General features: G+C 37.7%; 3 annotated features.

Moving 5' to 3' along the window:
- Positions 677–1197: an enhancer, noted in NCBI's record as "H3K27ac hESC enhancer chr20:12731402-12731922 (GRCh37/hg19 assembly coordinates)". NCBI's record gives its function as "activates a minimal SCP1, AML or CMV promoter by ChIP-STARR-seq in naive and primed H9 embryonic stem cells {active_cell/tissue: H9 hESC(naive and primed)}" and the evidence as "EXISTENCE:reporter gene assay evidence [ECO:0000049][PMID:30033119]".
- Positions 1198–1719: an enhancer, noted in NCBI's record as "H3K27ac hESC enhancer chr20:12730880-12731401 (GRCh37/hg19 assembly coordinates)". NCBI's record gives its function as "activates a minimal SCP1, AML or CMV promoter by ChIP-STARR-seq in naive H9 embryonic stem cells {active_cell/tissue: H9 hESC(naive)}" and the evidence as "EXISTENCE:reporter gene assay evidence [ECO:0000049][PMID:30033119]".
- Positions 3066–3743: an enhancer, noted in NCBI's record as "OCT4-NANOG hESC enhancer chr20:12728856-12729533 (GRCh37/hg19 assembly coordinates)". NCBI's record gives its function as "activates a minimal SCP1, AML or CMV promoter by ChIP-STARR-seq in naive H9 embryonic stem cells {active_cell/tissue: H9 hESC(naive)}" and the evidence as "EXISTENCE:reporter gene assay evidence [ECO:0000049][PMID:30033119]".

The raw sequence follows: 14051 nt of genomic DNA, 5'->3' as shown, positions 1-14051 counted from the left end.
CTGGTCTCAAACTCCTGACCTAGTGATCCACCCGCTTCAGCCTCCCAAAGTGCTGGGATTACAGGCTTGAGCCACTGCACCTGGGCTATTTAACCCTTTTGTGTCTCAAATTATTCATCTATAAAATGGATCAAATAATAACATGTACTTCAGAAAGTTGATATGAAAATAAACCAATTAATACAAGTACAATGTCTAGGACAAGATGTTCCACACACTAAGCAAGCAATAAATGCTGCCCGTTACAGTTAACTAAAGGTCCTATCATGTGTTAATAGAAACACACTAATCATACAACTGGAAATTTCCCAAATTGAGTTTCTAAAACAATGCTTTATTACTAAATTACTTAGCCTATATACACTACAACAGGTAGAGAAGTATTTTTAAACAAAATATTCAAATAACTAAACATAATTTTACACACTGAGGGCAAAGATATCATTTATTAGAGGTAACGACTTTTAAATTCTTTAGATTATTTTAATGAACATACAGGTACTCTTTAGATGGACTCTCCTGTAAGAAATTTACATTTGTATGAAAGCATTTGTAAAGCTTTTAAGATGTAATACTATTTATTTATTTATTTTTGAGATAGGGTCTCACTCTGTCACCCAGGCTGGAGCACAGCGGCGTCATCACGGCTCACTCACTGCAGCCTTGACTCACCCCCGATCCTGAGTTCAGGTGATCTTCCGACCTCAGCCTCCTGGGTAGCTGAGACTATAGGCATGCATCACCATGCTTGGCTAATTTTTTTTGTATTTTTTGTAGAGACAAGGTCTTGCTATGTTGCCAAGCCTGGGCAACAAGGGATCTGCCCACTTTGGTTCCCAAAGTGCTGGGATTACAGGCATGAGCCACCACACCTTTACTGTCATTCTTTGCAAGCATTTCTTATTCTAATTGGTATGGAAAACAATGCCATTTTCTTCTCAGTTAAGATACTCCGAAAATTTGTAACTATATAATACTGTACTGAGATGGGATAGTTCCCTTGACCCCCTTCACAGGCTGGAACTGGAGTGGCTCATATCATAGTCTGCTGCTGGCCATTCCTCACAGGAGGGAGTATGTGAGCAAGGGACTGCAGGAACCAGAGTGAATGAATGCTAGAACCAGTCAGTGGCTCCTCTCTGGTGGGAGCAGGCTCTGTGCAGACCTCACGGCAGCCTCCAAGTGTGTTACAACCAAAGCTCTTTCAGCTGCCATCTAGGGATGGCCAAGTGTCAACTGGCTCAGTGGAGGGTCAGGGTGGCAGCCCCTGCCCTCTTGGCACCTGGGTTCTTGTCCGACATCCAGGAAGAATCAGGTCATAGGAATGTTTGAAAGGTGATGAATGTGGAAGACTTTACTGAGCGGTGGGTGGCTCTCAGCAGAAAGGGAGACTGGAAAGGGGAAGGGAGGGTGATCTTCCTCTGAAGCCCGGCTATTTCCAGCTGGGCCCCTTTCCGAAGCTGTACATTCTGAAGTTAGCTTTGTCTGTCTGTAGTCTCCAACACTCAGCCACTTGTATCTTCAAAGCTCAGCCGCTAGTATTGCTCTGCCAGCTGAAGTCTTTTATGGGCACAAGATAGGGGCGGGGCAGGCCAAAAAGGCAACATTTGCACAGAAAAATGGGGTCAGCTGTTTTCACTTAGGGCCATGGTTCCAGGCTTAAGAGTGGGGTTTAGCCGGGGTCCAGCCCTTCTGCATCATTTCCAGAACAACTGCATTATAGAATGAAAAAGCAAATGAAAGTAGTCAGTTTTACGGTTTTAGATTTTTCTCATTGTTTCAGTAGCAATTTATTGAACAGGGAAGTATGTAAGTACAGATATAGGAGACGACAATGGTTATAACATGAGTATAGTTTGGAACCAGAGTCTATGAAAGACAGAATAAGCAGAGTCTCCACAGAAAACTGAAAATGGAACAGATGGGCTAATTCTGCATTTTCAAGAGTTCTTTCCAAACATGAAAGCCATCCCAGTGGACAAAGGAAAAGTTTTGTCTGAACTCAGCACCTGAAGCAATAAATGCAGACTGTTTTCCCATTATCTTAAAAAAAAAAAATCTTGGCCAAGGTAGTGGGGAGAGTGATGAGAAGAAAGAGACAAGACAGGTTTAAGATACATTTGTTTCTTTATCTCCTAATGGACAGAATACAATTTGATTTAAATTCCAAGCAAAGTGGCATTAGCTGAGTTCAGCAGAACTCCTGAGAGGCGGTTATTGGCCATCTCTAATCACTTCTGAAGCAGTCACTTGGCTGGACTTTCACAGGTCAGCTGGTTTCCAGGCTTGCTGGAGGTGGTGGCTAGAGCACCTGGGAGAGACTATATACACTGTTAGCTTGTTTCTTTCTTGTGTTGTTCCTATACTCAAGGAAGCCACAAACAGCTGTTTGTGGGTGTCTACCATCATAACTTGTTGGGAAAATGCAGTTCACAATTATGGTTTTCAAAATGGCATTTTCCAGTCTGACAAAATACATTTCTATTTTAATTCCTGTTTAAAAAAGTGGAAACTGATTTGAATCGCCCCTCCAATGCCCTCTCTTCATTGCAGGTGGTAGGTTGATAACACCTGGGTGTCTACCCTGGATGGCTGATTGTAGATCCAGATGGTTATTCACATTTAATCCAAAATGATTACATCCTTTTAGTGGGAATACCATGTCCTTCATATTTTCAACTTATTAAATTCCTACTATGTGCAAACAACCCCTTTTCTAAGTGCCGAGAAGAATGTCAATGAAATGCAATGTACAACCTATACACATGCACGCAAACACACTCACATACCATGGATACTTGATTAAGTAAATCCACCATGAACAGTGAATTTACGTATTTTGAGAAATGGTGATTAAAGTTACGGTTTGCAGAAATGGTGTTACTTAATGTGGAGTAGCTTCTAAGATGAAAATGCTGAATGCGTGTTTTAAGAAAGATGATCTGCAAAAATATAATTTGTAGAGTACAACATTTTTAACCAAAGAGTGAATATTGTGATGTAGACTGAAAATCAGAAAATTAAAAGTGGATGAAATTTGCTCTGAGTTTATAGGTTTTCCAGTTGCTGCTTTATAATTACCAAGTATGTGTGAAGCCCAGAGTCACACAACGAAACTGAGTACATGATTGAATTTGCAGACATAGCATTTCTGAATCTGCAGATTTCTCATCAAATGCTAAAGCTCCCCCAAGGTTGTTATTGCAGGTGGTGATCAAAGAATAGTCAAATGAAATACTCTTTTTTTTCTCTCTCTCTCTCTCTCCCTTTGTCTCTTGCTGATATTAGTACCAGAAGTTAAAACTGATGTAACTCTAGGCTAGTGTGGTAGGCATGTGTCAGAGAGTTTCAGCAATACAATTTACCACTAATTGGGGGAATAAAGAAACCCTGCTGTTTTCCTCTCTGCCTTCCAAAGGGAGAGGAAGAAAATCAGACCCCATGGGCTCCCTTAACTTTCTGCCACAAGATTGTATAGGCCAGGCTGGAGATCTCAGTTGGGTCCTGTTCCTCTCACTTCTGCACATACTCCTGTGTCTCTGCCTAATTGGACAATCAAAGAGATCTCTGTGTAGTTGTTTAGCCTTGGCCCAAGATGTTTCTTGATATCACATGTCTATGTCTTCTAAATGCAGCTTTTCTTTAATTTTTTGGGATGCCTTCCCTAACCACCCCCAGCAGATCCCATCATAGCTGCCCTCCTCCACACACACACTTTGTGGGGTCCTAAGAAAACCGCCAGTTCTTTCTTTATGAAGTGATACCATGTCTGTCTCCATCACCAGACTGTGGGATACTTAGAAGGCAAGAACCATGATGCGTTTAATCATCTGGTCTCCTGCACTTTGTAGGCAGTTCCACATGATGGAAGCTCAAAAGATGTTTGCTGAAGGAATCAGGAATAAAGGAAGACAGTTATCTAAAACCCTAGCACCAGGGAATTTTGAAGTAAATCCAATATTGATCAGCTCTGGTGTTTTTCTTTCCTACTTTTCTTTTTCTTTTTTTTTTTTTTCAGTTAATGAAGAATGTAGCCGTTTCTTTCTTTCTTTTTTTTTTTTTGAGATGGAGTTTCACTCTTGGTATCCAGGCTGGAGTGCAATGGTGTGATCTCTGCTCACTGCAACCTCCGCCTCCTGAGTTCAAGCAATTCTCCTGCCTCAGTCTCCCAAGTAGCTGGGATTACAGGCGCTCACCACCACAAAGGGATAATTTTTGCATTTTTAGTAGAGATGAGGTTTCACCATGTTGGCCAGGCTGGTCTCGAACTCCTGACCTCAGGTGATCCTCCTGCCTCGGCCTCCCAAAGTCCTGGGATTACAGGTGTGAGCCACCGTACCTGACCAAATATAGCCATTTCTGACATGCCACCCACCTTCAAGTCATAAGTTGTGAATTCTTTTAACATTTAAAAAAAATATATAATAGAGGCATGGCCTCACCATGTTGCCCAGGCTGGTCTCATACTCCTGGGCTCAAGCAGTCCTCCCACGTTGGCCTCCCAAAGTGCTGAGAGTACAGGCATGAGACACTAGTAATATAAAATGCAGAGGAGATGATATGCCACCTCATCTGCCTTTTCTTTAGTCCTTAACTGCAACATCAAATCTAGGGCCTTTAGCATTTGAGAAGGAATCAAAAGAACTGTATCTGTGAACCCCATCTTGCACTCCATTTCCCTGTGTGACTCTGGACTCCACACCTATTGGAGGATTAAGAGATAACAATTGGAAAACTTATACATTCAGAGCAAATTTTACTCACCTTTACTTTTCTGATTTGCAATCCATATCACAACACTCATTCTTTGATTGAAACTGCTGAGTTCTATCAATTATATTTTAACTTTGACTTAAGAAGCCTTCAAGGCATATTTCCCCAGAACATAGCAAACTATGAAATTCTGGATCCATAATGTGTTGTCTTTATGTCAGTATAAAGTAAATGTATAGTTATTTGCTGAAGCAACTAAGCCGAATATTAATAAATTATGGAGCAGGCCACTGCAACTTATCACTTCACTGTGTATCTTACTGGACCATAGATTTTCTTCCAAAATTTAAGCATTAAAAAGGGAACTTCTCAATTTCACCAGCAGGTATTCAGGGAAGCCCCAATAGTAAATGAACTAGATGAACAGGAATCCAAATAAAGTTTCTAAAGCAATAGTAGTAAAATTAAGGGTTGCATTTCCCATCAAGGACTCAGTATTGAGTAACTCTAAAAAATTATGAACAATTGCTGTAGTGAATACATAAAAATGATACATCATACAAAGAATTTAAAATAGTGAAATTATGTTTTATGCTCAGCAGCCATATACACAGGGGAAACATTTACCTTTAAGTGCATCCATGGTGTCATAAACTGCAGAGACAGTGTTTCAATGGGTCTCAAACACTTAACAGCAGAACACATTCTTATTGACATCTTCCAGTCAGAACACAAATAAACTGAAAAACCTGAGCACTTCCTTTTCCTTTCCTTTTTTTTTTTTCTTTCAGTAGCTTAGGCATACAAGCGGTTTTTGGCTAAGTGGACAAATTGCATAGTGGTAAAGTCTGGACCACTTTTGTTTTCATTTTTGTTAAGGTGAAAGCAGGAATAATCAAGTCTTTCCTTGCCTTTTGTGGTCATCTCTCTGAGACCTCAGGACTTTGTTAGATCATGTGACCACCAAATTAGAAAGGCTAAATAACCAAAGCTAAATATTTGACCTTTCCTTATTTTGTTTTAAAAAATCATTCCTACTTATTTTTAATAAGTGATATATGTATATGGTGAAAAGCTCAAAAGGCACAAAAGGAAATAGAAATTTCTAGATTGACGATGACAGTATTTAGCTGCCATATGCCCTCTCTCTACATAAATCACTAGAAACAAGAAGGAAAAACAAGAGGGACAAATGGAAAAGCCAACTCCATATTAGACAAAGTTTGGGCCAATTGAAATGCTGAATCAGAGTGGATGGAAAGGGCATCAGACTACTATTCATGCAAATTACTGTGGCTGTATAATATTCAAATTACTGTGGCTATATAATAAACTTCAGTATTTGTTTGCCCTAATCCTCCACCCTCACTGTTGCCCCTTAATATTCAAGGTTATTTTTGCTTGCCCATTTTTTCATATGAAGTTTAGAGTGAATTTATCTTGTTCCAAATAGAATACTACTTGTCTTTTTATTTAGATCACCCTCAATTTATAGTTAAGCCAGGAGGGCTTAATAACTTTATGATACTAAGAACATGGAATTTTTTTCCATGTTTTTGTGTCACAATGTATTTTTTAACAGATTGCTCATATTTTTGTTAAATTTATTTATGTACCTTTTTTTGATTGTTACTTTATGTGACATTTCTTATTCCATCATATCTTCAAATAATTTGCATGTATGAAGGTTATTAAAGTCTGTGTATTATTATATTTTTGTGCCCAGATACTTTTTGAATTCTTGAATTGTTTGTTTTTGTTTTAAATTAGATTCCAGTTTCTCATATGAACTTCTGCAATGATTATTTCATTTCTTGGTTTCTCACTGTAATTTTTAAATTTTTCTTATATTAGCTGGTATTTCTTGAGCAATGTTATCTAATAATGGTGATAGCAGCATCTTTGTCTTATTGCTAACATTAATGAGAATGCTGTTTAGTATTTCCCCAATAAACCTATTGCTGACTTTAGGCTATAATCATTCATATTTCATAGCATTATTTTATTTCTACTTCATATTGGTTTTTTAAATCAAGAGTGGATTTTGATATGGTGTGTGTGTGTGTATATATATATAAATTAACATATATGTGTGCATATATGGCATTTTATGTGTGTGTATGACATATATGTGGCATTATAAATGTGTGTACATATATATGTATATATATATATAATGCCATTTATCATCATAAATTCTATAAAGGCATTTTGTAGAATTTATGGTGATGAATGTCCACTTTTGGTCTATTTATATGATAAATTATATTAATACATTTATTAGTATTCCTTGTTAAATTTTTCTATTGAATCCCATCTTGTTATTCTGTGTTATTTTTTAATGTGCTGCTGCATTTTGTCTGCTAACATTTTATTGGGATTTTTGTATCACTTTTTATTATGGACTTGATCTAGAGTTTTCTTTTATTGTATTGACTGTCAGGTTTTGGTAGCAGTGTTACAGTATTTTCAAAGAAAAAAATAAATTTGAAGTTTTTCTTTCTTTTTTTCTTGTGCTTTAGACAAAGCTACGATGATAAACATTAGAATTATCTGTTCTTTCAAAGTTTAGTCGAAGTGCCCTGGGAAACCATCTGTGCTTGATGCTGTTTTGGAAAGGCAGGTCTTTGAAATATTTCACCCCCTATGGCAATTGGGTTGCCTGGATTCTCTAATCTTTTCTTGAATTGGTTCTGGTCAAGTTTTGCTCAGCAATGGCCATGGAGAATCTGTTAACTATACAGAAATCATATTTTTGGAAACATTGTTGACAGCTATTTGGGCACCTTGTATTTCCTTGGTGAGCTTCTATAAAGTCGGAGATACGAAAAATGTAAATTCCAAACATGTGCCACAGAATTGCTAAAAGAAGCATAGGGAAGTGTCTTGACTGTAAATGTGCTACTGCCTTCCAATAATGGAAATTGGCAGGAATATTTGACTGACAGGAAAAGACAGGGAAGGTTTTCAGAGCTTGTAGAAAGCTCTTAAGATGTTGCATAACTCACAAAGATAGAGTCTTCTTTGTGAGAAAGCTGCTTGGCAGAAACCAGTATTTCCATCACTTATTATTTTAAAACTCAGTTTCTCACCCTGGGGAAATCACTAATTTCTGGATGTTTGTCACAAAGCTTTGGTACATCCTTGTAGATACCAAAAAGAAACCCTCTGCTGCCTCTGCTTACCATCTCAGATCATGAACTCATTCCTATAGTGTCGATTTTTTTGAACTACTCAAAGTATATTGTGCTGTGCAGGCCTAGAACTGAGAGTTAATTAGGCAACAGGGAAGTAAAGAAAGAAAGCAGAGAAAATAAACCATTCTTAACCATCTACTATGTATATGACATGATAAAAACTCTTCATATGCTACGTTATTTTTTATCACATCAATTTTACAGAGAACTAACAAGGTCAGTTAAGTTAAGTGACTTCCTTAAAGTCACATTATTAATGCATAACTGAGTTGCAACATCAACCTGTGTTCTTTCCATTACGCTATCTTGTAACTCAAATGACAAAATGAAGAGCTTCAAAGAAATAAAAGTGCGATTAGTAGAGTGAAATATCTATGACCCTAAGTAAAGGGGTTAAAAAATACCATGGGCAACCAAAGCTGAGAATATCAAAATTTCACATCTTAGTCAATCATTTTAATTCCCATTTTATCAGCCTTTTATCACATCAGGGGAAATAAGCATTCTTATTAGTTTCTATTTTAAAGTTGTCAGGCACATTAAAAAGAAAGAGAGGTTTTCAGCAACTTTCTGGTCAGAGAGCTAATTTTCCAGGTTGGCAGTTAGTTCCTAAGTGTGAATGCTATTTTGGTCTGACCTAAACATCAGCCCACCATCCTTAAGAAACTGTCAGGCACCTCTCCAAAGACTTTCCTGTGAAAAGATAGGCTTCACAGCAGTGTACGGGAGATATTTAACCTAGGATGGTTTTAGAAACTAAATTGTAGCAGGGAAACAATGCTTCCCGGTGGCACACTAACCAGAGCCCACTGTTTCTTCTTGTTAGTTCACACATACCCCTCACTAATTTTCTTAGAACTCAGATTTTATTTCATTATTTAATGGGTACAAGGTACGCTATTTGGGTGATGAGCACACTAAAAACACAGACTTCACTGCTACACAATATAGCCATGTAACACAATTACACTTGTACCCCTTAAATTTACACAAATAAAAGAAGTGCTGTTTCCAAGTGCTTTATGGAAACCACTATCTCCTTAAAATGATCTTGCAAATAATATTTCTAAAGTTAAAAATGCTTTTAGGAAATGCTGAGTACTACATTCATCTCTTGGAATCCGCAACATACAGTCACATATTCAAGGCCCTGAGAAGTCCTGCAATAAATAAACTTGCTTAATTTTGTTTAATCCAGCATTTTCAAAGTAATATTTGAATAAGATGCATCATAAACTGTTTTCTTTCAGTGAAAGGAAATGTTTGACAGGTAAACACGTTTGTAAACTATTTTTGAAAATACGTTATTGGAACATATTTCTTTTTCCATTTGGCCCTATTAGGATAAGTTGAGAAACCTAGGAATAAAAAGCAAATGTAGGCATGTCAAAAATATTAATAATAACAATAACCATATTCTACCAATAATAGTTCCTTTTATTCATGAAATATCATTAATTTTTCATCCTACTGTATATTCTGTATATAAACTTCTGTTCATGCCCGTGAACTAAGAGCAACCACAGCCTTGTACATCCTGGAGCTAAGAATGTTTTTCACATTTCTAAAAGATTATAAAAAGAGGAAAAAAAAATGAAGGAAAAAAGAAGAAAAGACAAAAAATAAAAAGCAAAGAAAAGGAAGAATGTACATCATGGGCATTCAAACTCTACATGTGACCCTCAAACCCTAAAATATTGACTCTCTGGTCCTTCATAGCAAATTTGCCCACTCCTGTTAATCTAAACCAAAAAGTTAACATAATTGAAGTTAATAAAGATGTATCACTTGTTATAAATTATATAAAATAATTTTAAAAAAGAATAAAGTAATAGTTCATCTTTCACTTTAAAGATTACCCTTACTCCAGGCTTAGTGCAGTGGCAAATGCCTACAATCCCAGCATTTTGGGAGGCCAAGGTGGGAAGACTGCTTGAGGCCAGGTGTTCAAGATGAGCCTGGGCAACACAGTGAGATCTCATCTCTACCAAAAATAAAAAATAAAAATAAAAATTAGCTAGGTATGATGGTGTGTACCTATAGTCCTTGCTACTCAGGAGACTGAGGCAGAAGGATCACTTGAGCCCAGGAATTCAAAGCTGCAGTGAGCTATGAGTGTGCCACTGCACTCCAGCCTGGGCAACAGAGTGAGACGCCAACTCTACAAATTAAAAAAAAATAAAAATCAAGATTACTTCATGATAGAATTTAAAATTTAATTACTCAGATGAAAAGCATGACAATGAAAATATAAGAGGGTTCAGGGAGCTCCTAAATTTGAGAGTCTAAACCCTCAAATTTAAATTCCATATCAAGAGGCAACATTTAAAATAGGATGAAATAAAGATTAGCTTTAATTGACTCAAAATAACTTTGAAGCCTATACCAATTGAAGGATTTCTAACCTCATAGAATCACTTACAATCTCAGTCTATTATTTATAAAATGAGCAGATTGAAGTCACTGCTTCTTAGTTTAAGGAGAGTGTGTCACAATTATCTAGTAATTAAAATATGTGAGGTTTGCAAGCTGCAACCCCGTTCCACATTAACTAGGTCTTCTCCAAAAGTCACTGAATCCGGGACACCTTTTCAAAACACAGATCCCTTAGTTAGATCCTTTCTCTTGAGATATGTCTTTTAGGTGTAAGGTGGGTCTTATAATTTGATAGACCTTCCAGGGACTTCTTTTTTGCTCCTCCCCTCCTCTTCTCTTCCTACTATTGTGTAACAAACCACCCTAACATTTAGTGTCTTAAAACAACAGTGTAATACACCCACTCTCCTTGGGTCTTTCATGCAGTTGTAGTCAGATGGCACATCAAGATATGGTCATCTGAAGGCTTAGTTGGGCTGGACATCTAAGATGGTTTATCTGCATGGACGGCAGTTGACTGGGAGCTCCTCTGGCACTGCTGGCTAGAAAATCTACAAGTGGCCCCTCTATGTTGCTTGGGCTTCTTACAGAATAGAGTTGGCATCCAAGCAGAAGTATCCGAAAGTCCCAAGTGGAATTTTCCAGAGACCTAGCCTCAGAAGTCCAGAACGTCACTTCTATAGCATTCTACTGGTCAAGCAAGTCATTAAGGCCAACTCAGTTTTGAGGGGAGGAGAATAACATGAGGGCACAGAGAGGGAAATAATTGTTACTTGTATCTTTGGAGTTCATCTACCATGCTCCACAGCTAGATGGTGCCTGTTCATCTAAGAAGCTCCGTCATTTCCAGTCTATAAAGAATAAAGGGATGACATGTCCCTTTTAATTTCTCACTGACAAGATATTGATGCCACTATTTCCAGTGGAAACTACAAACTACGGAGCACTATGATTTTTTTTTTTAAGAGGAGCTGCATTAGGATGGCTTAAGGTTGCAATTGCATTATTTTTCGGTGGCAATTTCTTGTCAAGTAACTCAATGTGTTTTGTAACTTCATCAACCATGGGATTGTACAGTGCAAGGTGTTTCCTTAATTCAAGATTGATGTGATTCTGCAAGCACATACAACACACACAACAAGGCAGTGTGCTTATTGGTGGGGGTTTTTCAGGACTTATGGAATTGAATGAAAGCAGCAATTGGACAGACTGATTCATTGCTCAGGGAAACTCCTGAAAGCAACTCATCTGTGTAAATGTGTCTCTCCATTCATTTAGCCAGGCTGTATAGTTTCCCCTTAATGCTCTGTCTTTGTATCTATAGCTATCCATATATTATAGTAATCAATGTATACGGAAGGAATGTTCTTACTCAAATAAGAATTGATCTAGCTATTTGGACTGATCCTTACTCAAGGGATATTGCAATGAGGAGCAGGTAGGGGAAAGGGAGGTCAATTTAGTAGGGCTTCACATTCACAATAGATCTTAAGTTTAGATCTAGATGTTTTCTCCAAATGAAGATAGGCATATGGTCAGGAGGATACCCTGGCACAGACTAAAAAGACTTTTATTCCAGTACTGGACCCAAATTCATGATCAGACCATTACAAAACTTGTAGTACGTAACAATTTTTTTCAGCTAAAACTAAATCTTCTACTGTCTGCGAATAGCATCATCATATTGTTACACATTTGTACGTACATATTAAAGTTGTAGAATTTTTTCCAAGATAAATACATCCAATTGGCCACAACGTTTGAACTTTGTTTTGACCTTTTTTTTCATTTTTATTAATATGTAGAGCATCTCAAGAGTTGGCAAGATCTTGTCTTGGCTTTGAGAAGCCACAAACCTCCCTCATCTGCATTTTCTGGGGGCCAGGACAGTGGTAAAAACGGCTGCTCTCTCTACCCGGTATTGATTGCTCTACTTAACTTACATATGTCACATAGGAAAAAATGATCATCTTAGCAGGAGATGGAAGAAAGTCATTTTTTGGGAAAACTGTATCTTCTGAAAACAGCCTTTGATATGTGGCAGTTGCATAGAATTTATTTATTTATTTTTTATTTTTATTTTTTGAATATCAATGACATTTTTATTCTCCAAATTATTGGTGACAAGTTTATCTATTTTGTGGTAAAGTTATATATTTAAGTTTTCTACTTGTACGAAGTTAATCATTCAGACTCTGCAAGAAGCCAAAACAAAGTTGCATGGAATTTAGCTTTAAGCCTTCTTCCACATTCACATAAAGGATGGAAGAGAACTTTAATAATTTTGTAGAAAGAAGGGGCAGAGGTCAGCTGAGCAGTGTGCATACAGAAAGTTCAAGGAGAGAGATGACCCCTACACCTAAAGAGACTTGTTGCATTGTTCCCTGTATAAATCATTGTTAAAATGCTCGCTTCAGTCAATTCTACATTACTAAGAAATATTTTTGTGTGACTGTTCTTTTTGAGAAACTTAGAAGAGGATAATGAAATGGCTGGCTATTTGAACCACATAAAGGAATAATGTGATTTGATGAGAGTGGGGGCCATAGTTTGAATGTTTCCCCCAAAGTTCATGTGTTGGATGCTCAGTGCAAACAGAATTGAGAAGCGGGAACTTTAAGAGGTGATTAGGTCCAGGGCTCTGCCCTCACGAATGCTTTAATGACATTATCTCTGGAGTGGGCTAGTTATTGTAGGAACAGGTTCCTGGTAAAAGGATGCATTTGGCCCTCTTTTTTCTCTCTCACCTGTGTGACGCCTTCTACCATGTTATAACACAGCAAGAAGGCCCTCACAGATGCAGCCAGTTGATCTTGGACTTCTCAGCCTCCAGAACCATAAGCCAAATAAATCTCTGTTTATTTTATTTTACTCATTCTGTGGCATTACATTAATACCACAACAAAACGTGGGTTAAGACAGATGATTATACAGCAGGACCCCAGCAGGGCAGAAAATGAACAGCTGTGTTCTGGGCTGCTGTAACAAGAGCAATAGCCTTGATAATGGGAAAGAAGAGGCAGAGGTTTGCCGAGCCTAAGGGGCTTTTCGTGACCTGGAAAAGTAACCTGGGCTTTACCTTTGTCCCACCAATGCTAGGAAGCTTTGCCCAACTCTTCCCTATGAGGAGACACAACCAGAGTGTGATTAGAACCACTCTTTAGTACCAGATAGATTAGAGCCCATAGTCTGCCTCTTTCACATGGTAGTAGTGAGACATTTGCCAAGTTCCTTAACCCTCTCTGCCTTGTTTCCCCCAAAGTATATTGCAGTAAATTGTACCCACCTTAAAGTGTTTCTATGAGACTTAAATGAAATAATGCATAAAACATCCCTGTTGGAGACCACACTTAGTAAGTGTTCAATACATGATAATTTTTACTGTTATTTGTAACAGTATAACTGTAACTATGAAAAATGTTCCTACATTGGTTAAGGACACTATAGGAGTACCATTTGTTTGGAGGAAACATCATGCTCTGGCAGTTCCACATTTGCCTGGAATTTGGCAGTAACAATTCAGAACAGAAATAGCTAAAGCAATAGAAACAGGCTTGGTGATTTTTCAAAACTGAACTCAGTCTTGGAGACACAATGTCCTCTGGAATTGGAACATAGACTCTGAATCAGAAAGCAAACATTACAACACAAATAAGTAAGACCTGTGTGGAACAGGGACCAATGGAGGCTCCTAAGAGGAACAGAAGAGGAACAAATGGAATCGATGGGATTTAGAGTCGAGAAAATAAAAAATAAAAAACAAAT

This window comes from Homo sapiens, chromosome 20 (genome assembly GCF_000001405.40).
Source record: "Homo sapiens chromosome 20, GRCh38.p14 Primary Assembly".
Lineage (NCBI taxonomy): Eukaryota > Metazoa > Chordata > Mammalia > Primates > Hominidae > Homo > Homo sapiens.
The sequence above is the reverse complement of the archived record's forward strand: the minus strand, read 5'-3'. Positions and strand labels throughout refer to the sequence as shown.